This window comes from Homo sapiens, chromosome 1 (genome assembly GCF_000001405.40).
Source record: "Homo sapiens chromosome 1, GRCh38.p14 Primary Assembly".
Classification (NCBI taxonomy): Eukaryota; Metazoa; Chordata; class Mammalia; order Primates; family Hominidae; genus Homo; species Homo sapiens.
This window is the reverse complement of record NC_000001.11, coordinates 246,280,662-246,308,251: the sequence shown is the minus strand read 5'-3', so window position 1 is coordinate 246,308,251 and position 27,590 is coordinate 246,280,662. Positions and strand designations below refer to the sequence as shown.

Below are 27,590 nucleotides of genomic sequence, written 5' to 3'. Positions count from 1 at the left end.
AAGGATAATTAAGACTTCATTTCCGCCCTGTCTGGTAGGATAAATGAAAGAAATATATAAATAAATATAGTTATATTGAAGATTCGTTGAAAGCAAAACTGTGCTGCCTTCTTTTTGTAAATCTTGCTTTCCACGTTCAGTACATGGAGGTGCTCACAGTATTCTCCAGCAGACTGCGATAATGGTGATGCGGAGACCTAAGATGGAGATTTGGAGTGGGGAGATCATTTGATTTGGCCTTTAATGGAAGATACTGTAGGTGGAAGAGTCAGTGCTGACTTCCTAGAATTTAACAGTCACCATTGCAAATAGGCTACCGAGGTACCTGGAGTTGAGATTAGATCCTTGTGACTGGATGCCAAGGAGCTTCTTGCTGCTGGTTCATGCTTGACGGACGTGCCTGTTTTGGGTTAGGAGCAGTTGATTTCAGGTTTCCCCTGCAATTTATGCCTGGGGCTGTTCTAGTGAGCCTCACTTCCCTTTGTGAGCCCTCCTCGTGCTGCTTTCTCTTCCTGATAAGAATCCCCTAATTTGGCCGGGCGCGGTGGCTCACGCCTGTAGTCCCAGCACTTTGGGAGGCCGAGGCGGGCGGATCATGAGGTCAGGAGATCGAGACCATCCCGGCTAAAACGGTGAAACCCCGTCTCTACTAAAAATACAAAAAATTAGCCGGGCGTGGTGGCGGGCGCCTGTAGTCCCAGCTACTCGGGAGGCTGAGGCAGGAGAATGGCGTGAACCCGGGAGGCGGAGCTTGCAGTGAGCCGAGATCACGCCACTGCACTCCAGCCTGGGCGACAGAGCGAGACTCCGTCTCAAAAAAAAAAAAAAAAAAAAAAAAGAATCCCCTAATTTATGAGAGCAGGGTTCTTCAAATGGGAAACGTGGCTGTAGGCCTTTGTTTGTTTATTTTGCTTTTTGTTTTCTGCTTTTCAGAATAAACTGAGAAGGATTTTTAGAAAGACATGAAGAGAAAGAGCCACTTAAGGTGACTCAGGATTTGGGATCTCAGGTGGTTTGAGATCTATAAAAGAAGAGAGTTTCAAAAAGGAGGTGGCCAATATATAAAAGGACAAATTCAGCACTAAATACAGCAATTAGAAATTCAGCGGAGCTATTTTTCATGTGGACTAAAAGTGTGAAAACTATTTTATACTCCAGAGTAGAAGCTGAGTGATTAGGCTTCTCCTGTTTTTACCAAAATGATAAGTTGTTTCTCAGAATATATTGCTCTGAATGAAAAGCTGAGTTGTTTTTTTTTTCATTCTTAAGAAAAACCCATCCTCCCCTATGTTTGAAACTCAAAGTTACTTCCATCTGACTTGATGTCAGGTCATTGGTCTGAGGATCAGCCAGTGTGTTTTGAAGTACTGTATCTCACCAGGAACCACAGAGTCACTTAAATCCTACATGACTCGGCAAAATCCTTGTCATTAGGATTGGCTTTGCCAAGTCATTTAGGATTAGTAAACTTGTGACTGTTTTGTTCTGTAATGAAAATGTCTAGCGTGAAGAACAGAGGTCAAAATGATCTTATCTGAGCGAGTTTGCTTCAATTAATTCTTTGTAGTGCAGAGTTTTACAATATTACACCTTAAAAGTGGTGTACAAATTTAATTTTGGTAATACTTATACCATAATAAATTGGAGATAGAGGTTTATTTTTATGTATTGTGTGATCTCTTAAGTATTATACTAAAGTACTAAAGTGACTATCCATTGAAAAGCCATATCTGTTAGTGGTTCCACCATGCTGTTAAGGTATTATAATTTTAGAGTATAAAATATAGTTTTATTCATGAGCATTCAAATAGGAAAAATATATCTGTCCCAGTTTCTAATTTTTTTTTTATTTCAAGGGAAAAAATGGCACAAAGTTTGAAGATACACCCCGCTGAATTTTTTTTTGAGACGGAGTCTTGCTCTGTCACCCATGCTGGAGTGCAGTGGCACAATCTTTGCCCATTGCAACCTCTGCCTCCTGGGCTCGAGTGATTCTCCTGCCTCAGCCTCCCAAGTAGCTGGGACTATGGGACTACAGGCAGGCGCCACCACGCCCTGCTAATTTTTGTATTTTCAGTAGAGATAGGATTTCGTCATGTTGTCCTGGCTGGTCTCAAACTCCTGACCTCAAGTGATCCGCCTCCCAATGTGCTGGGATCCTGTTGAATATTTTTAATGCAGCTTAAATTTGTATAAGCCTTCAATTTTGATTTGTAATGAAGACAGGAGCAGAAATATATTTTGTGGTGCCACCAAGAGAGTTCAGCAAATCCACTGTAAGTTGTGTGAGTACATGGCTCACCTATCAACAATAGCTCTTTCTAAACTTGAAGGTGAGAACTTTAGTAATTTTGCTTTGTCATGGTTGAACGCTGCCATTAGACATCAAGAGCAAATTAAAGAGGAGAGTTGGGCTGTTAAATATCATACTCATTTATTAAGATAAGATAATGACTGAAAATTGTAGGACAAGCTAACTTTGTGTACTTTTTGAAGAAAGGAACCTTAAAATGTTTTTTTATTCCTTCATGTTAGATTTTGTAATTAAGAATTCTGTGGTAATTAATACAAAGTCTGACTTTAGTTAGAATGTTTCTCTAAATATGACTATGGAAGCCCATGTGTTATTTCAAATAATCTTCTTCAAATAGCTATATTTCCTTTATCATCCTTATTTGTTTATTTGACATGGTGTCACGTTATCCCTCTTTAATATTCATTTTTAAGCAGATTTATGAGAAAATACCCCTTATCTGTACATTATAAAATGGATGCAGCCTGAATTGACCATTAACTTTTTTTTCTAATGTAACAAAGCTGTGAAATTAGCATGATTCCTAATATTTTATGTTAAAAAGATGATTTGTGTTACATTGAAGATAACAAGGAAGCTCTTCTGCTGAGGCTTGTGTTGAAATGAGATTTTCTATAATTCTATTAAATTGTTGTTGGAGTTCAACATTTTTCTGGAAGCGATTCTGTATCTTCTTGTAAGATTTTAGAATAAAATATGAAACAGAATCTTTAATCATTGTTTCACTGAATGAGGTCTGTGCTCCTCAAAATGAGTGCTCCGAACCCTTTCGGATTCAGCATTACTGTGAGAGATTTAGGACACCTTCTCATGTAAGCTTATGGCAACCTCAGGAAAAGGGACTTATGTTAGGCAATAGATTGTAAAGTAACACATGCTCCTTATTCCAAGTAATCGTATGAGAATTTAGCTTCTATCTTCTGTGCCTGTTGCAGGGTGTAAGACCAAGCAGGTATATGTTAGTTGTTCCTGGTGGGCTGTAGCAAGCAAGGCTGCTCTTAATGATGGAGTGCAGGAACATAAAAAATCTCAACAAAGATGAAAGTTTCATGTCTCATTGGTAGTTTTTAAAAACAAACAAGCCGCAGCCCACAGAGGTTTATCATGGGGCTTTTCCTCTTTACATATGAAGTTATTAATTTGTAGCCTATGGCTCAGAAAGCAGCAGAGGCATTGACAGAACATTAAGTTCAAACTTAATGTCAAGAGTTGTACAGCGATTAGGCTGCAGGGGGTGTATTTTAAAGATAATGGTGACTGTGTGGCTAATGGGATAAATGCTTGGGATAAAGAGAAAACTCCAAACTCTAGCAGTGCTAGTAAGTGGATTTTCATGCTTTGGGCTTGCTTTACTTGGCTTTGAGGCTAAACATCAAAATCTTTATGATACCTTTTTCCTCTCTATTTTTTTTCCTGCTTATGTATTCATTGAAGTCTATTTTTATCATATTTTCAGTTGCTGGTCATTTACTAATGTTCAGAGAAATATGTACTTTTATGGCATATGTACACATTACATTGAAAGTCTTTCATGTTTATTATTTTTACAATGTGCTTTGAACTAGTTTTTTAAACTGAAATAAATTTCTATATGTATTATGGCTATGTCCATGGGAATGACTTCAAGTTCATTATATTTTGCTGCCTGCTTTATACAGATTTATACTATTTGTTTTGTACGTGTGCTATATAGGAGTTCATGCAAATGTATTTTGTATTATGGCTTGTTTTCTTAGTTACGAGCATCTGAAATATAGTATCTTTATTTAATACTATCACATACATAAAACTATAATTTCATTTACCAGTAAAATTATTATGCTTTGTTCTCTGCTAAGTATTTGTTGACCCAATATGTATTACAAATAACTTTGTGATGTTATATTTTGTTTTTAGGTTAGTAGACTATCATTGAATATCCTGAACTTATTTCCAACTGGATTCCAGTCTAAAGTAGATGAACACAATAATTAGTTTCCTTCTACAAAATCACTTTAAAATCACTCTCAATACACGTGTTGTAGAAAGTATTTTTTAGTCAATTGCCTGCCCTAGTTCTTTGTATCACTGGGATGCATCTGTCTGCCTGTGCATCTTCTGTGCTAGCAAACATGATATGGACAAACTGAATTTTTGTAATTAGAATGCTATTTTAAATGTACCAGAATGTACACTTAAATAGAATCCAATAATAATAGCTGATATTTATTGAGGGCTTCCTATGTGTCAAGCTGTGTTCTAAGTACTTTATCGCTGTACACATTTTTCTATTGCTGCATAATAAATTACTACAGTCAGCCATCTGTATCTTTGGGTTCTTCATAGATTCAATCACCACAAATAAAATATGTTTGAAATGAAAAATAACAGTACAATAAAAATAATATAAAATTTAAAAAAGAGTATAACAACTAATTTATATAGTGTTTACATTATATTAGGTATTATAAGTGTATAGATTTAAAGTATACAGGAGGATAGGTACAGGCTATATGCACATAGTATGCCATGTAATCTAAGGGACTTGAGCACCTGTGGATTTTGGTATCCACAGGGGTGCTAGAGTCAATACTGAGGGAGGAATGTATGATCTTAGTGGCTTAAAACAGCACTCATTTATTATACAGAGTGTGTACTCCAGGGGTGCAGGAATCTTGGGGCCACCTTAAAATTCTGCCAACCACAATAAGTATCAACTCATGCACTCCTCACAGCAACTCTGTGAAGCAGGCACTATTATTAGCAGAATTTTATACTTGAGGACACTTGGTCAAAGGAGTCACAGAACAACAAAGTAGGAGAGCCTGGGTAGGAACTCAGGCAGCCTGACTTGAGAGCATAGACTCTGTCTGCTCTTCAGCTATTGTTGTGTTAGGAGCTCAGTGCTGTAGCTATTCATTCCATTGCTTTTTCTGTATATCCGCAATTCTCTCTTCTTTCTCTTGTCATATAGTGTTCCGTAGAAGACCCACATATTTGTGGTGTTTAGGAAACCTTTACTTGGGTCCACATACCTTTTGTATGGATTTGATTTTACTTTCTTGGCCATTTAAGTAACCTCTGAGTCACAAAGCTAACTGCTGGATCCTGCCTCATAGACTTGCTTATTGGTTCTGTATGTTGCTATAAACTCATTCTTTTGCTATTAACTCCTGCCAGTTCTTGTAAAGTCTAGATTGAGCTTTTTGTTGGAAAATTGGGAGTTGTGGCCATATTGGGTCAGTTTCCACATCGCAGTAATTTTCTTGAGCTGGGTAGCAGCCACCCCTTCGTGAAGCATGAACTGTCCAATTTGCTATACTCAGCCTACTTAGCTAACCCTAACCCATTCTATTCAGTCTTCATCTGAACTTAAACTTGAAATATATATATATAAATCATTGTAACAGAAGTAGTCTTCTGTTTTCTTACTTCACTTATTGTTTATACAGTTTTTTTCACCTGAATTCCTTCTGTATTTAAAAACCCACTGCAGTTTTCAGTGATGAAATCTAATTCAGTCTTTTCATGAAAACAGTTTCACATGACAGAAAAATCCAGCCCACATTGAATGAAGCACAAAAGGAATTTGTTGGCTATGACTGAAAAATGCTTCCTTTTAGCATTGCTAAGGCCAGGGGCTCAAACAACATTATTAGGGTCTGGTCTCCCCCCATTGCTAGGCTTTCCTTCTGTGAGTTGCTTCGATTCTCTGATAGCCTTTCTTCTTAGGGTGGCAAGACAGTGGCCAAAAGTTCTAGGTTTTCATCCTCTCAGCTCCAAATTCAACAGGAAAAGTAACTTATTATTTTGTTGCTTAAGCATAATCCCCAAGATTAGTGGTGATTGTATTTCACTGGTGGGGCTTGGGGCAGGTATGCACTCTTGAAGCAATTGCTATAACCAGGGAAACGCGGTATTTCTATGTGCTTGCCTTAGCTCGCATGTCCTCCCTGGGAGTCTGTTCCAAGGAATCACAGAGACAGATAATGAGGAAGGGATGATTTTCAGAGGAATATGAGGAGTGAGTGCTAGATGACAGAAATAGTGCAGCTTCCTTGCTTACTTTCTGTCCCTCTCTTAAACTTCTCTAATACGGATTATCAGTGACACGTATAATATTCTGCTTTGTATTATAGTCACTTATTTATTTATTCATTTGCCAGACATTTAGTGCCAGTGATGTTGCAGGGATTGTGCAAGAGGATGGGAATAGAAAGATAAAAAAGACACATCAGTTGCCCTTGGGGAATTCACAATACAATATGCATAATTTGCTCCCCAGCTGGATTGTAAAGCTTAGGAGATGTCAGAAATGTTATTGTGTTCCCTTATAGCACGTAACATTATATTTCTTATAAAACAGACTCTCAATAGACAGTATAAAATGTGTGCATGCAGTTTATTAAAACATATTCTCATTACTTCAGACTTGCTAGGTGAATCAATCTTAATTTGTGGCCATCTTGTTTGTACTCATACCTGAAAACCATTCCCACTGTAGCTTTATTGTTTTCCCTTGTCCCTGCAGGAAGTGTACTACCTCCCTTTCGGGCACCTATGGAATTTTTCCAGCACTCATCTCATCCTGTCTTTTATCACAGTTACTTATTGGTTTGTCTTGGCTCCTGCACGAGAATTGAACATTCTTGAGAGCAGTGAATTGCTTAATAAATGTTTGCTGATTTGAATCTGTCGAATGGTGGAAGTGTCCTGGGGACTAGTTTCAATATTTTTTTCATTGTCTATTTATATTTTATTTGTTCATTAGACTTTGTTCAGATTTTCCCTTAAGTTCCCATTTATGCTTAATAGGCAGATTTGGGTTTTGCTCTTCATTAGTCTTCCATGTGCACATTTGGTACTGGTAGTATTTTAATACTTTTCACACAGTCAGAGGGTTGGTATTGATAATCAGTGACGACTTCTATCTCTACAAAGCTGAACTACCCTTAGGACGGGTAGCATTATTCTAGAAAGAAAATGAACTTCACTGACAGGCTGGGTGTTTTCTATTATCTGATCTGAAGTTAATATCCCTTGTTTCTATTTTGCTTGCAATAAAATCCAGACTTTGATTTCCTGAGGTCTTTGTAATCAGTAATGAAAAAGCAAACTTGATGTGCTTTGAGAAGGATAAGAGCCAACATTGAATACTGGCTGTATTCCAGGCACTGTGGCTTGCATATATTATATTTTAAATCTTCACAACAGTTCTATGGGGGTACGTACTATTATTATCCCTGTATTCCAGGAGACAAGACTGAGGCCTAGGAAGATGAAGGAACTTGCCCAGAGCCACATAGCTAGTCAGTGGTAGAACTGATCCTTAACCTAGGTGTCTGTAATTTTAGAGTTCATGTTTTTAGTACCTGGAAAGCACAGAGGCATTTGAAAATTCCAGATTCATACCTTGGCGTCCCACACCACCACAAAGATCAATAGCATTCTCATTCAGGTAATACTTTAAACATTGCTGGCCGCTTTCCTCACCCGTACACCTAAGAAGGCAATTTTGGGTATTTTAGAAATCTCTTTGGTAATAACAACAGCAGACTATAGACAGCCATCACATTACCTTTAATACATCTAAGTCCCCTTGATCCTTCAACACAACAAAAGCCATTGTCTATAATACATGCAAATGTGCATTTTCAACTGTGCTAATACATTTTATCACTCATTTGAAATGTTTATTGGGGTCTATAAAAAAACTATGTGCATTATGAAAAGTTAAAGTAAGTAAAAGCACAAATGAGAAATCCAAGTACCCTAGAAACCTTACTTCTTAGAGACCAACACTGTTAACAGTTGGGTCCACATTTATATCTTTATTTAGTATATACACAGCTACATGCATACCACGTATAATTTTTTAATGGTTGTATACTATTCCATTGTATGAACATGTTAAACTTTGTTAACTTTTTTTTTTTTTAAACTTTAATTTTAAGTTCAGGGGTACATGTGCAGGACTGTTTTATAGGTAAACTCGTATCATGAGGGTTTGTCGTACAGATTATTTTGTCACCAGGTGTTAAGCCTAGTACCTAGTAGTCATTTTTCAGCCTAGTACCCAGTAGTCGTTTTTCCTGATCCTCTCCCTCCTCCCATCCTCCACCTTCAAGTGCGCCCCAGTGTCTGTTGTTCCTCTCCGTGTGTCCATGTGTTCTCATTATGTAGCCCTCCCTTACAAGTGAGAACATGCGGTGTTTGGTTTTCTATTCTATGTTAGTTTACTAAGGATAATGACCTCCAGTTCCATCCATGTTCTTGCAAAGGATACCATCTCCTTTTTTATGGCTGCTTAGTATTCCCCAGTGCATATGTACCACATTTTAAAAATTCAGTCTACCATTGATGGGCATTTAGGGTGTCCATGCTTTTTCTATTGTGAATAGTGCTGCGATGAACATAGATGTGCATGTGTCTTCATGATAAATGATTTATATTCCTTTGGGTATGTGTCAGTAATGGGATTGCTGGGTCAAATGGTGGCTCTGTTTGTGGGTCTTTGATGAATCGCCACACTGTTTTCCACAATGGTTGAACTAACCTACACTCCGACCAACAGTTTGTAAGCGTTCCTTTTTCTCTGCAACCTCACCAACATGTTATTTTTTGAGTTTTTAATAATAGCCATTCTGACTGCTATGAGATGGTATCTCTTTGTGGTTTTGCTTTGCATTTCTCTAATGATCAGTGATGTTGAGCTTTTTTTCATACACTTGTTGGCTGCATGTAACATTAAAATTTAATGAACCAGTACGCTATTGAAGTATTTCCATTTTTTTCCACTGTAGGGAACATCAGTATACATCTATCTTTGCATATGAAACTGGTTTTTACATAGGATAAATTAGTAGAAATGAAGTTGCAGAAACAGATTTTACATTTTTATATATGTTGCCAGGTTGTGCTCTAATATATATTGCATTTACACTCCACCAACCCTATACAAGAACACTGCTTGCTTACTCACAGCCTTGCTAGTACGGGATACTGTTACTCTTTTTCATCCTTGCCAATCTTAAAAGTGATATAAGTAATGCCTCTTTGTAATTTTCATTTTCATTTTTTAGTTATTTGATTCTGGTGGGTTTGAAATCATGAAGTTTTGCATAATAAAACCATGAGACTTTGACTCTTTTTTTTCCCCATGAAATTTTTAAGGCCATGACAGTTCTAGGCAGACCTAGACATTTTCTCTGGCTTTTAAAAGTAGAGCTGTTCCTTCTTTATATGATGAAGTATAATATACAGGGAGTGTTGCATATTCTTGATGGTCCAGTCATCATCATTATATAAAGATAGCTTTTGGTACAATCTTATTTTTAAAGCTGTTAGGTCCAGAAAGTTTTTACCTGGTGGAAGTATACCTTTTACTTTATTAGTACAAAACCTCCATCTTGTCTCTGATATTTTATGAAGGGATACTTGGGAACAAATGTGGCAGCTCCTATAATAACACTTAAATTGTATTGAAAACACAAGATAGCCTCTTTATATTCAGCTTTCTTTTACATTCATGTACTTTGAACTTAAATGAGTTCATTAGGCATTAGGTTGGGTTTGTAAGCTTTAATATGATTTTGGTCATAGAAAAAAATTAATATTCAGTATTTAGATTATTTCAATTTGCCACCTTTGTAGTTCTTGATATTAGTATGCACTTATGTTTTATTCTTTTTTTCCTGCTGTAATAGCTTCTATTTATTATTATTATTTTTTTACCTCAGTGTGCTCTTGCTCTTTATGAATGTTTCCCCTTCTGAAGTTCTTTTCTTATTTCTCTTTAGCTGTTGACAAGTGGCACTGTCTGTGAACCTGCAGGTTTATATAGACAAAGGAAAAAGCTTATGTTGTTTATTGTCTTTCCAGAAGAGGGTGTAGCAAGAGAGGAAAAGAGCAGCTAGACTGTCCCATCCCCCTTCATTTTAAGCATCTCATAAAAATTAAAGATGATGGAATATTCATCATACTGAAAAGCACTCTTACAGTTATAATTCATAAATAACATTGGCAATTAAATTCAAGATGTCCTGTTAACAGAAACCAAAGAGTAAAGCTGTCTACCTCTAAAATATGAAGATCATTGTCCTATGAGACAAGGATGAATGGAGATAACACATATTTAGAACTGAAATGGAAGTCTTAGAAGGAAAAATTGCTTAATTTAATTGAAAAGTATTGTGAATCTTGGGTAGATTCATAGCATTCTCTGGTCAATACAGTGAATCTCTGGTATTTATACATCAGAATAATTGAATATTTGACATTTGATGCATCAGAAAAATATTCTAGTCAAGAAATTTATTCTTGTTTAGGGTTAAAAACGTTTTCATTACAAGCCAGTAATTTCAGGTTCTGTCCTTATTGAACAAATGCTCTTGTCCTTTTAACTTAGGAAGGGTTATGATGTAAGCCTGAATCACTTACCTTTGTTCGTTGAGGGTTCTTGATCTTAGAATATAAGACAAATTCTTGGATGCGTTGTTTCCCTGCTAACTCATTAACCCATTGTAGGCTAGCTGCTGCCTCTACTACCGTACTGAAGTGAATTCACTCACGTAACTAGTTACATCCTAAATGTTGAATACAGTATTTTGTTCTCTTTCTGTGTCCTGTTTGACTCCTCTGAGGCATATATTGTTGACTGTTTCCTTAATGAAACTCCTCTTTTATGACTTTGAAGATACCTCTGTCACCTTGTTTGTTTCACCTCCATGGATCTTTAAATGTTGGCATCTCTCAAAGATGGTCCTTGTTTCTCTTTCTTACTTTCTTTTTCACATTGTTTTTCTAAATAGATTCAACTATTACTTAATTGTGAATGAGTAAATTTTTGTCTCTGTGTCAGAGCCCCCTCCTGAGTTCCAACTCTATTTCTAACTGCTGGCCATTTATGTCCCTGAATCATTGCCCAAACTATTTAAAGTCTGGATGATTATCTAGCACTTTCCTCAAATCTCTATCACTCATGAGTTTCCTTTATTGTATTCATCGATTGTTAGCTTCCTCTACCTAAGTTCCTCAACCTAGAAGCATTTTCAGAATCTCTGTGATCTTTAAGAACGCTATCTCAACAAAAATATGTTATCTGTACTAAGTATAGTACAATAATACATAAATGATTCATTAATCACTTAAATAGGAGTTTATTTAAATAGGAATATCATATTGTATTAATATTTTGTCTGAACTTCATAGAATTTAAAATGTCTGATTTTCTAAGGTATGCTGAACCTTCACTGTGATTTTAACAAATGTCTTTTCGGAGGGGTAGAGGACAGTGCTCCAATTTTATAGAGAAAGTAGAAGGAAAATGACTTACAGAAAATGAGATTACACACAATGTTCAAGGCTGTTTCAGAAAATAATTTAGTTATTTTGTATATAAATATACATTTATAAAAATATATGTTCTAAAAAGTATATAATGTTATTTATATATAAATCTGCATTAACTATATAGGTTAAGGCAAGAGCCAGTTTCTTCTGTCATGAATGTAGGTATTTTCTTGTGAAGCCAATTTATTGTCGAAGCCAAAGGAGTTGCAGTTTTTATTCTGGTTGTCATTCTAGACATTCAGCATGCATATACAGTTCTGTAAAGTTATTAACACATTGAAGAGAAATGAGTTGTTCATGGCTAAAGTTGTGGGGGCAAGTGTTACCATTTCTTGAATCGTTGTAGAAACAAGTACTTGAAAAGTCTTAACTGTAGAGAAAATCCATGTGATTTTCATGGGCGTGACTGAGGCTTCGGTGGTTGTGGAGGAAGTTTCTCTGTCTGCATAGTCTGCATGTCCAGACTCAGAGCGGCCTAATTCCTGACAGTCACTTCCTTCCTCTCCTGTCTAGAATCAGTTCATTTTCAATATGTCCTTCTAACATTTTCTAGATGAAAGCAGCAAGTTAAAAACATCCAAGAATGTCCTGGAGTGCAAAACCTACCTCCGCATGCATACATGCATACATACAACAGCAGAACAAAACACCCAAATCAAACCTTTGAATTTTCTGTGAGAAATTTAGTCTTTATAATTCATACCTCCCTTGGGGATTGATTTTGTTCTCCTTCTGATGAATTTTGACTTTCTTGTCCCATGCCTGTCATCTCAATTGTTTAACGATTTATTTTTCTTGCTCAGAGGATTCAGATTTCCAGATCATATGGCTATAGCTTGTACTGGTGTCAAGGTCAAAATCTTTTAATTTTATTGATGGAACTGGTATTGTAACCTGAGGGTCTCTTGCTGTATATTTAAATCCTGTCATATTGCCTAAAAACAGTCATATCTTGGTTTTGGTCCAACAGATACTTTTATTAAATTCCTTGGCTACATCTAGTTTACTTTTTCCTTGAGAGAAATATAACAGAATACCACCAGCATCTTGATTGCAAATAGATTGTTACCGTGGCAACCTGACAGTTTTTAATATTAGAATCTTCTTGTTAAATCAAAACTTATGAAATTGGAGACCTTTCCCTGACTGAAAACATTATGCTGCCTCTTATAGTTGGAATTACACTGTGTCCAAGCAGAAAACTGTTTTTCTTTATTAAGAAAACAAACACTTTGTTTGCTCATCAACTCCTCGGCTACTATCTTAGGACCTTTGGCTTCTCAACTGTAGACCCTTTTCTGGGTAGGATCTTTTATGCTGCTGGGCAGCAGTGGGATCTGTAAGAGATACTAAGTAAAGAGAATCACAGTTTGGTCTCTGACACTAAAGAACGTTACCACCTAGGGACTGCGTGAGTGGGCTTGGGGAGATTGCTTAGGTTCTGGTGCTGCTATTAGAATACTAATAGAATTAGTATTCTGAGTGGGAATACTAATTCCTGCCTTAACTTGTCTTATAAGCTTGTTTTAACAAAGGAGTACATAAAATATTTATTATTACATATTATTCACAGTGAATAACAGACATAAGTAATATGCAACATATTAGATTTATGTATTATCTCATGTAACCTCCACAGTAACCCTGTAAAATAGATATATTATTCTCACCTTATATATGAAGACATTTGTAGGCAGAAAGGCTAATTGGGTCGGGCACGATGGCTCATGCCTGTAATCCCAACACTTTGGGAGGCTGAGGTGGGCAGATCACTTGAGGTCAGGAGTTCCAGACCAGCTTGGCCAACATGGTGAAACCATGTCTCTACTAAAAATACAAAAATTAGCTGGGCGAGGTGGTGGGTGCCTGTAATTCCAGTTACTTGGGAGACTGAGGCAGGAGAATCATGTGAACCTGGGAGGTGGAGGTTGCAGTGAGCCGAGATTGCACCACTGCACGCCAACATGGGCAACAGAGTAAGACTCTGTCTTAAAAAAAAAAAGGAAGCTTAATTGGTTTGCCCAGATCACACACAGATGTATACATGGACTCAGAAAGAGTTGTCTGTTTCTATTTTCAGGGCTTTCTCCACGAATTCTTTGGCCTATCATGTAGCTGGCACATAGTAGGCACTGTGCTGACACATAGCAGGCACTGCATATTTGTTGACTAAATGAACACTTAGCTGAACACTTACAGGCAATGGTAGTCAGCCCTCAGTAAGACTGACCATTTGTAGATAGATTTAATCTGGTCAAGAAATTAGAATTTGCTAAAGCTAACTCTGCAACATAGTGGGCCCTGGTTGCTTCTGTAATTGTCTATCATTCATCAGGCTTTCATCTGACCTTACTGAGTGAGTGCTATGTGCTGGGGACGCCGGTATTTAGAAATGAGGAAGACATTCTCTAGAGTATACAGATGATGGCTAATGCTGTGGAGGTGGAAGGAATGTAGGGAGAGGGTAGGTAGAAAAGAAAATAGGAGCAGCATGGATGGAACACTTTGGAACAGGAACATTTAAGGGGCAAGCTGAAAAAGAGAAGCCAGCAAAGGCGACTGAGAGGGAGTAAAGTGGGAGGAAAACCTGGAGAGAAAGATATCATAGAAACCAAGGGAGAAAAAGCACTTCATGGAGGTCAACAGCTTCAAGTGCTGCAGAGACGTCAGTTAACGTGAGGACTGAAAAGGTTCATTGAGTTCAATAATAGGGAATCCTTTGGTGAGCTTTGCTAGAGCACCTTAGAGTCATGAGTGCTTGATCATTTTGAGAAACCTGACTGTGAATAGAAGAAAAGAATAGGGCACTAATTAGGAGTGTGGAGTTTTTGGTTCTGTTTTTTTGTTTTGAAGAGATTTGAATGTGTGAGCCAGCAAAGATGAAGATTTAAAGATAAGTGGGCAAAAGGGTTATTAATGATGAAGTGATATTTCTGAGAAGGTGAGAGCAAAGGAATTAACCTTGAATCCTGGGATAGACGCTCTTCTTCTGAGACTGTCGTGGGTTTTTCCACTGTGCCGGGGGAGGGGTTTTCTTGGAGTAGTCTCACTAGCAGGAGGGCTGCTTTTGCTCCATGTCTGCAAAAGTGGAAGCACGTGGGTGAATGCTAATGTGCGTGTTATACTACTTAGAAGTTACAGTCCTCTAATTTTTTAACTTGCCTTCTGATACTGGCTTAAAATAAGTTACAGTTTAATTAAAGGTATATATTGATCACACTTACCACACCTATGGTAAAGTAGCCTTCTAAAAGCTCCAGATCTCTAGGGTGCCAGCAAAACATCCAAGTACATAATACATGTAGATGAGGTAGCAAGCGAATGATTTGTTGTTCAGACTACATGACCAAATATAGTTCAGAAGATATCTGTCAGTGCTGGGGCCTCATGGAGAGAGGGAGAGATCATCCACTAGGTCAGGGACCCATAACATTCTTTAGGGGGTGATATGATGTAGTTTGGGGATTCACAATCCTTTCTCGGTGAGGAGATGCAAATTGGCCTCATAATTACCACCATGTATGGAATAGCATCATACATGATCTAGTTGTTGTTTTTTATGGTACAGTGTTTTTACAGTACAGATACATTTACCCACCAAATATGGTGGTTTGGAATGATTCTTTGTGATCTTCCTTGATTTCATCAGCAATTTTTCCCAACCCATGTTTCAGTTTTCAGTCTTAATACTTAGCATTAACTAAAATTATGTTCTTGAACATGGCTATATGTTGACCCTTTCCTTATGTTTTTTCAGTGTCTGCCATGCTCCCTGCCTAAGCTTCCTGTTGTTTGCTCAGCCCTTTGTGTTCCTTTTGCAGAGACTCCAATTTCAGCATGACTCTTTTGCCCCCAAATGCTCTCAAGTAATAGGTTGGCAATACGTGTTCATGGTCTTCTGTTTAAGGGAAGCTTGTAATGTGTCATTCCTTTTACTGTGTCACATGGTTTACTGCAGCATATCCCTACAAAATTTATATTGTGCTGTGCTGGAGTGACTGGTATGTTGGAGTGGATTTTTATTAGCAATATATTTATCCATATAGTGATCATATCTGCTTTAATACTTGACAGTGATAGTAAGTCTAAGATACTGGTGTATTGGATAGTAAGTCTAAGGTACTGGTGTATTGGATAGTAAGTCTAAGATGCTGGTGTGTTGGATAGTAAGTCTAAGGTACTGGTGTGTTGGATAGTAAGTCTAAGATGCTGGTGTGTAGGATAGTAAGTCTAAGATGCTGGTGTGTTGGATAGTAAGTCTAATGTACTGGTGTATTGGATAGTAAGTCTAAGATGCTGGTGTGTTGGATAGTAAGTCTAAGGTACTGGTGTGTTGGATAGTAAGTCTAAGGCACTGGTGTTTTGGATAGTAAGTCTAAGATGCTGGTGTGTTGGATAGTAAGTCTAAGATGCTGGTGTGTTGGATAGTAAGTCTAAGATGCTGGTGTGTTGGATAGTAAGTCTAAGATGCTGGTGTGTTGGATAGTAAGTCTAAGATGCTTGTGTGTTGGATAGTAAGTCTAAGATGCTGGTGTGTTGGATAGTAAGTCTAATGTACTGGTGTGTTGGATAGTAAGTCTAAGGTACTGGTGTGTTGGATAGTAAGTCTAAGATGCTGGTGTGTTGGATAGTAAGTCTAAGATGCTGGTGTGTTGGATAGTAAGTCTAAGATGCTGGTGTATTGGATAGTAAGTCTAAGATGCTGGTGTGTTGGATAGTAAGTCTAAGATGCTGGTGTATTGCATTGGTCATGGGAGGTAGAAATGGCTCCTTTACTACCTACCTGTGTGATCGTCAAATTCATATTTTCCCAAGGCTAATATTTTCTTCTTTCTACTGTAATTAGCTTCCTCATTCTGCAAGTTAACTATGATTATAAATACTGAATACCTGGCATGTTTTCTCAAGTATGAAAATAAAAGCTTATACTTAATGTGTAAATTACAGTTGAACATAGGTCCAGACATATGGTTATTAGTGTTGCTTAAATTACTGGTTTTTCTTGTCATTGCTATTGCAAGTGTTCTCAAAGTGACGGCAAATCACTTCCTTTCCTGTACTGTGTAAGTAAAATAAATATATTTTAAAATGTATGAATGTGTAATGTAGATATTACTCTATTTGACCTTTTATTTGGAGGTTAACATATAAATAAATAGCAACAACTAGTATTGAGAAGTCCAGATGCACTGGGCTTGCTTAGGTGCCTCGTGGTCTCCATAAACATTTGGTCTAGTGTTTCTGGCTAAAAGCCAGCAGCAAATTATACTTTCCATGCAACTCTTAGCTCACTCTCTTCCTTCTCAGAGCATGATCTGCAAAATGCACTCATAAGACATCAAATTTGAATTGCAAATTTGTATGCGAATATTATTTTACAAGTAGTCGGGAAAGAAACCAGAGGGGAACGTTTCCCTAATTTGTTAGCAAGCTGTATACATAATTTGTAACTGATGCTTGTCTTGACCATCTAGTCATCAGTATTCTGTAGGTTATGGAAATACCAATGTTTTCAAATCTTTGCTTTGTTTTTATCAAGACTACTTTATTAACCTATGTATTTTTTTTTTTATCACGCTTAAAAGCTTGTTTAATTGTCCCATCACAAGGTAACAAATAGTCTTGTTTTTTAAACATGGGAAAGCATTTTATATTGTTGAAACTGGCATGTTTTAAAATAAATATATAACCTCAGGAGCTGGCTTATAAATTATTATATTTCTTTCTGCTGCTTTGAAATGGTGCTAGGGTAGCTGATGATGAAGACATCAGTGTGGTAAATTAAGATTGTGTGTATTTAATTATGTGTGTTTAGTTCAGAAGGAAGCTAGATTTTTTTCCACCAGCTGGGCAAGGTAAAAGAAATGGGATGTGAAGGAAAAAAAAGGAAAGAATATAGGGTTTTTCAGTTCATTGTGAGAGGCTGAGGTGCTTTTATTCCTTCTGCCTTGCTAGTTGTGATATTGCTTATTGATATTAGGAAAACGAAACTCCAGACACTTGAGCATGAAAAATTACCCAGTGTTTATGGCCTTGAAAATATGTTGATGTGTCTGAAACTCTCACACTCGAAAGTTAAGCCTTGAAGTTACAGGCCAATTTCAAGGTTAGACAAGGAATGGTTTTTACAGGTGCACTTCATTGATGAAGAAACTTTTTGTAGAGAAGTCATACTTAAGGAGTTCATAATTTAAGAAATTAACCATATATCTCTTCCCTGATAGCTTTACTAGGGTTTTCAGGGCTTCTCTTGTCTAGTGAAATGAGAACAGTAACTGAAATGAACAGTCCAAAAAGAAGCTTTTAAAATTTCAAGCGACAGTAGAAATTGGCCAAAAGTTTAGATAGTTTAGTGGATAATAATCACTATTAGTGACAGAAGATGAACTATGGAATGTAGATGGTTTAGTTCCCTTTTCTCCAGTTTTTGCTGGAAAACTCTCAGGTCTTCCCCAGTCCAATTTCCTCTCTTCATATGCTAATGTAGTTATTTTGCTGTGTTGCTGTTTCTCCTGTCATCATATATTTGAACATCATTTGAAGATTCCTTTAAGTATGGAGCAGCATACTTTTGGTCGCCAAGGAGATGGCTTCTTTTAGATCTGTGTACTTTCTGATTTTGCTAAGTTATGATAGTTTTTTCCTCACAGGCCCACACACTCGTGATAAATATATACAAGTGAGTCGTACTGTCTGTGTTGATAGTTTGGGAATTATTTTGAGCAGAGTGGCTCCCTATATTTATGATATATGGGAATAGTCCCTACTGAGGAAGTCTGTGTATCCACTTACCCGGGGTTGCCCTGGATTATGGTTGTGGACCTCCATTGGTGAGTTCATGGTTACTGTTAGATGCAGGTAAAATCTCCTCTAGCCACTAGCACCCACGAACAGTAACATTTACTGAGCATTTACCAAGTGCCATGCACTGCACCAAGCAGTCGAATTATCTTATAAAATGTCCACTGAGATCAGTGTCAGTGAGTGGTAGATTTACATACACTACCAGTCATGCAAAGAAAATATACTATCAAAGTAAATTTTTTGAAAAGTTAAAACCTGACTCTCACAGAAATACAAAACGAAATGCCAAAGATGTATTAACTTATTAATGAGGAAACCAGGCAGAGTTAATGCAGGTCCAGAGTACTGAAGGAACTGATCTTTAGGCATTAGAATAAGATTGCTAGATTGGAGACAAAACTGGTGACGTTCTGCATGCACTAAAACCACAGTTTTTAGAGTTATCCTTTCTGCTGGACAGAAATCTATAAGCTAACGTTGTAGTTTCACACTATCTGTGCTCTAACAGCAAGTAACAAAGTCAAATGCATTGGCATTCTTCTAGGGAATTAAATAATCCTTGGGTGAAGCTGTGAAACAGTGCTCTAGAGTAATATGAGAAGGCCACACAGCTCCCTAATCTTTTTCTTTTTTCATGTTTTGGATAATTTTAATTAACAATCGCTTTTTAAGATTATTATTTTCTTTTGAGACGAAGTTTTGCTTTTGTTGCCCAGGCTGGAGTGCAGTGGCGCAATCTTGGCTCACTGCAACCTCCGCCTCCTGGGTTCAAGCGATTCTCCTGCCTCACCCTCCCAAGTAGCTGGGATTACAGGTGCCCGCCACCACACCCAGCTAATTTTTTGTATTTTTAGTAGAGACAGGGTTTCACCATGTTGGCCAAGCTGGTCTCAAGTTCCTGACCTTCAGGTGATCCACACAACTCAGTCTCCCAAAGTGCTGGGATTACAGGCGTGAGTCACCGTGCCTGGCCAGGCTTTTAAATATTTTATAATTGAACTACATTTTCTTACCTCAGCCCATCTGGGGAAGCAGTTAAGTAAGGAATGTACATGATTGGACAAACTTACCCCTTAATGGTGCTTCTGTTTCTTGTAGTTTAAAGTCCTTGGGTAGCTTGTCTTTTTTTCAGATAAATGCTCAATTCTTTGCATTTTCCCCTCCTTGTCCTTCCATGGCAATGGGAGCAAGACTGCAGACTGGTCCTGATTCTCTTCTGCCCCAGGTGGTTGGTTTATCTAGTCTTGTGCCTGGACTAGCCTTAGCTTTTATTCTTGCCATCTCTCCACTCTGGGGAGTCTTAGTCTCTGCATTACCCCCACTGGGTCACAGGAAAGCTCAGGATCCACTGCATAACATACGCATGGGGCTGTAGGGGACCAGGAGGCCACTTCTGGGTTTTCCCTCCTGTTGTGTGTGGATCGTAGTTTTGAACCAAACCAGAAGCTTCTCTGTGGAGCTACGGTTCTAAATCCAGGCTGCACATTTGAATTACCTGATGGCGGAGTTCAAGACCAGCCTGACCAACATGGTGAAACCCCGTCTCTACTGAAAATACAACAATTAGCCAGGCGTGGTGGTACACACCTGTAATTCCAGCTACTTAGGAGGCTGAGGCAGAAGAATCGCTTGAACTTGGGAGGTGGAGGTTGCAGTGAGCTGAGATTGCACCACTGTACTCCAGCCTGGGTGACAGAGTGAAACTCCATCTCAAAAAAAAAAAAAAAAAAAAAAAAAAAAAGAATTACCTGATGGCATTTCAAAAACTTGCCAATGCTTGAGTTCCTGAGCCCAGACCAATCTAAGTGTCTGGGGGTGGGGGCCCCAGGCCGTGTAACGTTCCAAGGCCTTCCTAGGTGGTTCTACCCTGCAGCTGTGCTCATGGAAGCAAGGTGAGCTTCTCATTCCGTTTTCAGCCCTCATTTTAAAAATTAGTGTTTTAGGAATTTAGAAAGCACATTTTCTCTTGACAAAGCTTGGCTGTCAAGAATTTTGCTTGTTGACTGAAAATATTGATTTATAGGTGTCATAATTGAACACTGAGTCTTTCTCTTTGTATTCCTGTTTCCATAAACCTGAATATCCCGTAGGCAGATGGATGCCCCTGGCCAAAACAGAGACAGGGTCAGGTGTAAGGAACCACACAAAACCCCCCCAAATCTAATTACTATACTTCAAGAATAGTATTCCCAAAACTTGGTATTTCTATGTCCATCTTAGAGATGTGGTAATAGGCAAAGTGAGGTTTAGTATGACTTGCCCAAGGTCACCTAGCAAGTGAAAGAAACGCAATTTAAACCCAGCTTGTCCCCCTCCAACCCAGTTTGGACATAGCGGTAAGTTCTTCTGGAGTCCTAACTTAACAGATGGAATGCCAAACACATTTTTAGAAAACATAAACTATTAAATAGTGATTACATTCATGGGTTTTTACTACAAAAGCTTTTTAAATTTGTAATGAAACTGTAAAAGGAAATCTTTAGCTCATTGACCTAATTATTATTCCGAAAACTATATATATTAGAAAATATTTTCTAAGTTTAAAACAACTCTGGACTTTCACTAATGTTTTCTGATCAATTGATATTCATGAAATTCTAAAATGATTGTTGTTTTTTAAAATGTTATTTTAGGCTGGGCACTGTGGCTCACGCCTATAATCCTTGCACTTTGGGAGGCCGAGGCAAGTGGATCATTTGATGCCAGGGGATCAAGACCAGCCTGGCCAACATGGTGAAACCCTGTCTTTACTAAAAATACAAAAAATTAGCCGGTCCTGGTGGCGCACAACTGTAATCCCAGCTACTCGGGAGGCTGAGACATGAGAACTGCTTGAACCTAGGGGGCGGAGGTTGCAATAGCCGAGATTCCGTCACTGCACTCCAACATGGATGATAGAGCAAGACTGTCTCAAAAAAAAAAACAAAAAAAAAGATTTTTTTATTATATCTTGAGGTCATATATTTTCCAAAGATATACCACTACAGTTTTATAATGATGGTCAATGGAGAAAATTTCTCCACTTGAAATTTAGAATTCAAAAGTCTGATTATCAAATATTTGAGAGGCAGCAGACCTACGTACTCTTTAGTTAATAAATATTGAGTGTCTGGTATGTGCCATGCCCTATACTAGGTGGATATACAAAGATGAACAAAAACAGTGTCTCTGTATTACATTTATATTGGCAAGTCATTACTACATACAAATTTCTAAAAATTTTTAAAAAGACCTTCAGGGAGTCTGTAGAAAACTAGCACTAATTTTCTGAGAGTTTGAGTACAGAACTAATGTCAGTCTTGTGTTATACTCAGGAATTTTCATTGAGTGAAAACTTGAGGAAATAATTTGTATGATGAATTTTAAAGAAATTGGGACTTCCCTAAGACAGTGGAAAATATTTGTTTTTAAGAGGCATTGATGGGAGCTGTGTGGTGATTTGTGATTTGTCAGATTAAAAAAAAAGTGCTGTGTTTACCTATGTAACAAATCTGCACATCCTGCGCATGTATCCTGGAACTTAAAAACAAAAATTTAAACAAAAGTGCTGGCAAAGCAAGGTTTTGTTATTATCCTTTATTAAGCTTTTTGTGGGATGGAGGTTTTACTTTAGAATCAGAAACCTCAAGTGTCTTTCTCATATAATGACTTCTTTTCCTCTGGGTAGATACCGAGTAGTGGGATTGCTGGATGGTAGTTCTACTTTAGTTCTTTAAGGAATCTCCACACTGTTTTCCATAGTGGTTGTACTGGTTTACATTCCCACCAGCAGTGTAGAAGTGTTCCCTTTTCACAGCATCCATGCCAACTTCTATTTTTTTTAAATTTTTTTGGTTATGGCCATTCTTGCGGGAGAAAGGTGGTATTGCATTGTGATTTTGATTTTTGTTTCCCTGATCATTAGTGAGGTTGTGCATTTTTTCATATGTTTGCTGGCCATTTATATCTTCTTTTGAGAATTGTCTATTCGTATCCTTAGCCCACTTTTTGGTGAGATTGTTTTTTTCTTGCTAATTTGTTTGAGTTTCTTGTAGATTCTGGATATTAGTCCTTTGTTGGATGTATAGATTGTGAAGATTTTCTCCCATTCTGTGGGTTGTCTGTTTACTCTGCTGACTGTTCCTTTTGCCATGCCAAAACTCTTTAATTTAATTAAGTCCCATCTATTTATCTTTGTTTTTGTTGCATTTGCTTTTGGGTTCTTGGTCATGAAGTCTTTGCCTAAGCCAGTGTCTAGAAGGGTTTTTCCAATTTTTTTTTTTGTAGCATTTTTATAGTTTCAGGTCTTAGATTTAAGTCCTTAATCCATCTTGAGTTGATTTTTGTATAAGGTGAGAGGTGAGGATCCAGTTATTCTCCTGCATGTGGCTTGCACTCGCATGTTTGTACCAGCAGAGTTCACAATTGCAAAAATATGGAACCAGCCCAAATGCCCATCAGTCAATGAGTGGATAAAGAAATTGTGGTATATATACATGATGGAATATTACTCAGCCATAGAAAGGAATGAATTAATGGCATTTGCAGCAACCTGGATGCAACTGGAGACTGTTGTTCTAAGTGAAGTAACTGAGGAATGGAAAACCAAACATTGTGTGTTCTCACTCATAAGTGAGAGCTAAGCTATGAGGGTGCAAAGGCATAAGAATAATACAATGGACTTTGGGGACCTGGGGGACAGGGTGGAGGGAGGTGAGGGATAAAAGACCACAAATTCGGTTCAGTGTATATTGCTCGGGTGATGGGTGCATCAAAATCTCGCAAATCACCGCTAAAGAACTTACTCATGTAACCAAATACCACCTGTTCCCCAAAAACCTATGGAAATAAAAAAAAAAAAGGAAAGGCAGTTACTAGTCAATATCACTAGTAAACATGAGTTTTTAAAATCCTAAATAAAATATTAGCAACCTGAATCCAGCAAATAATTTAAAAGCAACATGACCAGATTGTGTTTTCTTCCAATAATGTAAGGCTGGTTTCACATTAGAAACCTATTAATACAATTTACCATACTCCCTTAAGGAGAAAAATCATTTGATTATCTCAATACAATCAGAAAAAGTAAAGAAAAATAAAAGAATTAGAGGCTGGGCGCGGTGGCTCATGCCTGTAATCCCAGCACTTTGGGAGGCTGAGGTGGGCGGATCACGAGGTCAGGAGATCGAGACCATCTTGGCTAACATGGTGAAACCCCGTCTCTACTAAAAATACAAAAAATTAGCCGGGTGTGGTGGCGGGTGCCTGTAGTCCCAGCTACTCAGGAGGCTGAGGCAGGAGAATGGCGTGAACCCAGGAGGCGGAGCTTGCAGTGAGCCGAGATCAAGCCACTGCAGTCTGGTCTGGGCGAAAGAGTGAGACTCCGTCTCAAAAAAAAAAAAAAGAAAAAGAAAAGAATTAGAAACCTCAGAGAATGGAAATTTTGCTCATGTTTCATGGTATTGAGAGAATTCACGTTGCTGACCTGGTAACCCTGAAGTGTTTAAGTGCTGCAGATGGTCAAAGGAAAGCTGAAAGATTTCGGAGCCTGCTGCTTTCTTTGTTCTGCGTTTGCAACACATTACCAGATGCTAGATGCAGAAGTACTGCAGCACTTGCCTGTTGGGAAAGCTTAATCTAACTGCTCAAGTAGCTGATATGCAGCATCTGACAGCCTGCTATGCCGTTTTGCAGCATACTCACCGGTGCTTTTGATATTGGCTCTGAGGAAGTACTTTTGGTTGCAAGTGACATGGCATGTACCTCTCCAGCAAGACTTCGTTTCTGAGAAATTCATGTAGTTCTTCTTTCATGAGTAATTTACCTTGTTTGATTTTTCTACTGGTTGATATGCTATTTTAGTCAAATATTAATGTGCTACATTTAAATGCTTGACTTCCTTTTGTTATTTTGAAATCAGTTATTAGGGTGAATGGTGTACCTGAAGGTTGTGTGTAACTCACAGTTGTCATGGGCTGTGAAAGCTGGCAAGTGCTGCAGTTTTTGTTTATGACTCGGTTGTGTCAGTGGGAGACAGAAATTCTAAAAGATACTGCAAGCAGATCCTGGTCGATTTCTGTGAGTGCTATAAGTTCTGGGAGAAATGATCTTGGGCTTTAGATGTTATCGCTGTGGCAATTATATTTCTTCTGGTCTCACAGAAGCAAGTGTCATTAAGAGCTTTAAATATTTGAAATTAGAACCATATGAGTTATTTTGAGACCTCTAGTTACTGTAATTAAACATACACAGGTATATATGAATGAGGACGTTATTTATGCATGAGCAAGGGAAGCTTTTCCATGGCTCTGATTATTGGCAGGCAGGGGTGGTGAGGAAGGAAAGCAAGATGGACACATCTGACACATTTAAAGCCCAGTTTAGCCAGAGTAAGGATTTTGAGGTCCTTTCTCTTTGTTCAGATTGCGAGTCGATGGTAGGACTTTGGGAGGGATGTAGCAAAGGGGATGTAATAATGGCAATAGCTCATGCTCATGAAACACATAGGTTCCAGGTAAAATGCTAAGCTCTGTGCATATGATCACTCACTGTTACACTCTTGGCAATGTTATTATCTCTGGCTTAGGAAAGTAGATGACATGCCCAAGATTACATTTGTAGAACTGTGGTGTGAACCCAAGCCACCCTGAGTCCAGATCCCAAAAGCTTGACCACTGTTTTATTTTCTATGGGGGGTTACATGCTCCCTCAGTAAGTTTTAGATTTTTAAGGTGCCATTGTTGAGCAGAAGAACCTTTAGAGCTCCTTATTTCTTTTGTGGCTTTTCCTGTCTCAGGGAAGGTGCAGGCAGAGGAAGTTAAATTCCGATCACTCTGAAGGAAGAAGTTTGCAGCAGTGGTAGGATGATATAGAAAGTATTGACAGTGCTGAGAATCTGGGATTATTTATTCTTGTTTGGAGTGAGAGACTGGATCTTCAGTTTACTTTAGATAATTAACAACTGCAACAAACCAGGTTGATTTATTACATTTTCTAGTTAGATTTTGTTGACTGTTCAGTTATTCTAGTCATGAATAAATTTTTATCATTTTTCCCCATAACATATGTTGAAGCAGAAGTCTCATCTGCTAGAAGCAACATTTAAAGTGCTTGCATAACAATATTGTTGATACAGAAGATTTTTTGTATCCAAACAAAGAAGTTAACTACTGTGCTTCATTTATCTTCATCTGTCTGAAGTACCAAGAAAAGAGATGTGGAAAAATAATGATAGGTAAGCAAAAGAAAAGAAAAATACATGCAGCTTTTTTTTTTTGGAACAAATAATTTTATTTTTTAAAATTATTATTAATTTTTTTGAGACAGGGTCTTGCCCTGTTGCCTAGGCTGCAGCACAGTGACGCCACCTTGGCCCACAGCTCACTGCAGCCCCGACCTCCTGGGATCAAGCGATCCTTCCATCTCAGCCTTTTGAGTAGCTGGGCCTACAGGTGGGCAACACCACCCCCAGCTAATTTTTTTGCTTTTTTTTTTTTTTTTTTTTTTTTTTTTTTTTTTTGTAGAGATGAGGGTCTTGCCATGTTGCCCAGGCTGGTCTCAAACTCCTGGGCTCAAGCAGTCCTCCTGGCTTGGCCTCCCAAAGTGCTAGGATTACGGGCATGAACCACTGCACCTGACCAGGAAACAATTTTTAGACCTCTACATTATATTTGTTTTTATGATCTTCTGTCTTTCCTACTATGCCATGATCTATATAAGTAAAGTATACATATTTGGACCTTTAAAACTGGATTCACATAGTCCCCGTCTTGCAGAACTATTTTTCACATCATTTGGTCTTGTAGATATGTTACAAAAACAGAAAGGAATTTAATGACATTCTACCTCCTCTCTCTTTTTTCCTCTTTAATAGGTTTCATTTCCAATAGCCCAGCACCAGTGTGTCATTGTCCTCTGATTTAGGAGTCCTTTTTCTGTTTGATTTTGAGCTGACTGGTAGTATGAGCTGTATTGACATAGCATTCTGTTTACTTATGTCTTGGAACTTCTCCTTTTCTTTCCATAGTCACGTATGGGTGTCTGTGCTCAGGAATCAAAGCCTTTGCCTCTTCTTTCTTTTCCTCCACTGTTTTCTCAGTGCCTAAGCATAGGTTATGCCCATAGTATGTATTTAGTAGCTACATTCTTTCAATAATATTTTCATTTGTATGTTTTGCAGATGTTTTTAGAGTGCCTACTATGTGCCTTTACTGAGGTATATGAGGTTCTGAGGATACAGAGATGACAATAACGTAATTTCCTGTGCTTAAGGTGTTTGCTGTTGTTTAGAGGAGAAACATCTCTTTAAAGGAAAAACATTGCGGTATGATATGATCAGTATTCTCACAGAGCTTTACTCACCCATGATACAAGCTTGAGCATAAAATCACCTATCTCACAGAGTTACTGAGTAGGGTAAATGTGATAGTGTGTGGAAAGCACCTAACTGTAGTAGTCTCTGGCACATAGTAGGTTGCCAATCAATGGCAGCCATTATAATTCATAAAGCACAGTGAGTTCACAAAGAAGGAAGAGAACACATTGTCCTGGGCCATTTCAGTAACGAATCTCAAGTGACCTGGCACCAGTGAGGCAGGCTCTACCACGGGCTGAATGGGGACCCCACTTCCTTCTCACCTGTGTGGTGTCCAATGATATGCTAGAATTGAATTCTCAGATGTATCTTTTCAATGACTCATAAATGCCTGTAAGTACCTGGAGGGCAGGTGCTGTGATTAGAAAAATCTTTATTTCCCGGCAGTCTTTGAGAAATCTGTAAATGTCTATTGAGTGCATTAGGTTTTAGAATAAATTCATAGGCTATAGGAGATACTTCTTTGGAATATTAGTGTGATTTTAATTGCTAGGTTTTTGCAAATAAAATAGACAAAGGTCTGAGGAAGGCATCCTTCCATTTGGAATTTGGTACAACTAGCCATCTTTGTCCCACGTTTTGTTTTTGAGGTGGCAGCCTGATCAAATATAGGTTGAACTATAGAATGCAGTTAGCTCTTGAAGCATCTGATAAATGCAGAAACAGAAAAGATGAGGCCAGCAGGGGTCAGTTTAATACCAGTTTAAGTTGCAAGCACAGTGTTTTTTTAATTCTCTGTAAAGTGGAATGATAATAGAAACTGACATGCACAGTCTAAATGTAAGCTTT

At 37.9% G+C, this 27,590-nt stretch overlaps 1 protein-coding gene across 9 annotated transcripts in view, besides 3 other annotated features; it reads left to right on the top strand.

Annotated features, from left to right (window-relative positions):
- The window catches only part of SMYD3 (SET and MYND domain containing 3), a 757,933-nt gene that overhangs the window by 199,028 nt on the left and 531,315 nt on the right, over positions 1-27,590 (top strand). The window contains exon 1 of one of the 9 annotated variants that reach the window (XM_017002094.3): positions 2,199-25,661. The exons of the other annotated variants lie outside the window; for them this stretch is intronic. The gene's annotated coding sequence lies outside the window, so the exon portion shown is untranslated. Of the gene's footprint in view, positions 1-2,198; positions 25,662-27,590 lie in introns of those variants that run through there. 9 annotated transcript variants of the gene reach the window in all.
- Positions 204-2,303: an enhancer, noted in NCBI's record as "VISTA enhancer hs2070". NCBI's record gives its function as "enhancer in: midbrain (mesencephalon)[4/5] | eye[3/5]" and the evidence as "EXISTENCE:transgenic organism evidence [ECO:0001131][PMID:17130149]".
- Positions 204-2,566: a biological region, named in NCBI's record as "VISTA enhancer hs2070".
- Positions 1,367-2,566: an enhancer, noted in NCBI's record as "MED14-independent group 3 enhancer chr1:246468988-246470187 (GRCh37/hg19 assembly coordinates)". NCBI's record gives its function as "activates an origin of replication core promoter dependent on BRD2, BRD4, P300/CBP and CDK7 cofactors, and independent of MED14, by STARR-seq in HCT116 cells {active_cell/tissue: HCT116}" and the evidence as "EXISTENCE:reporter gene assay evidence [ECO:0000049][PMID:35650434]".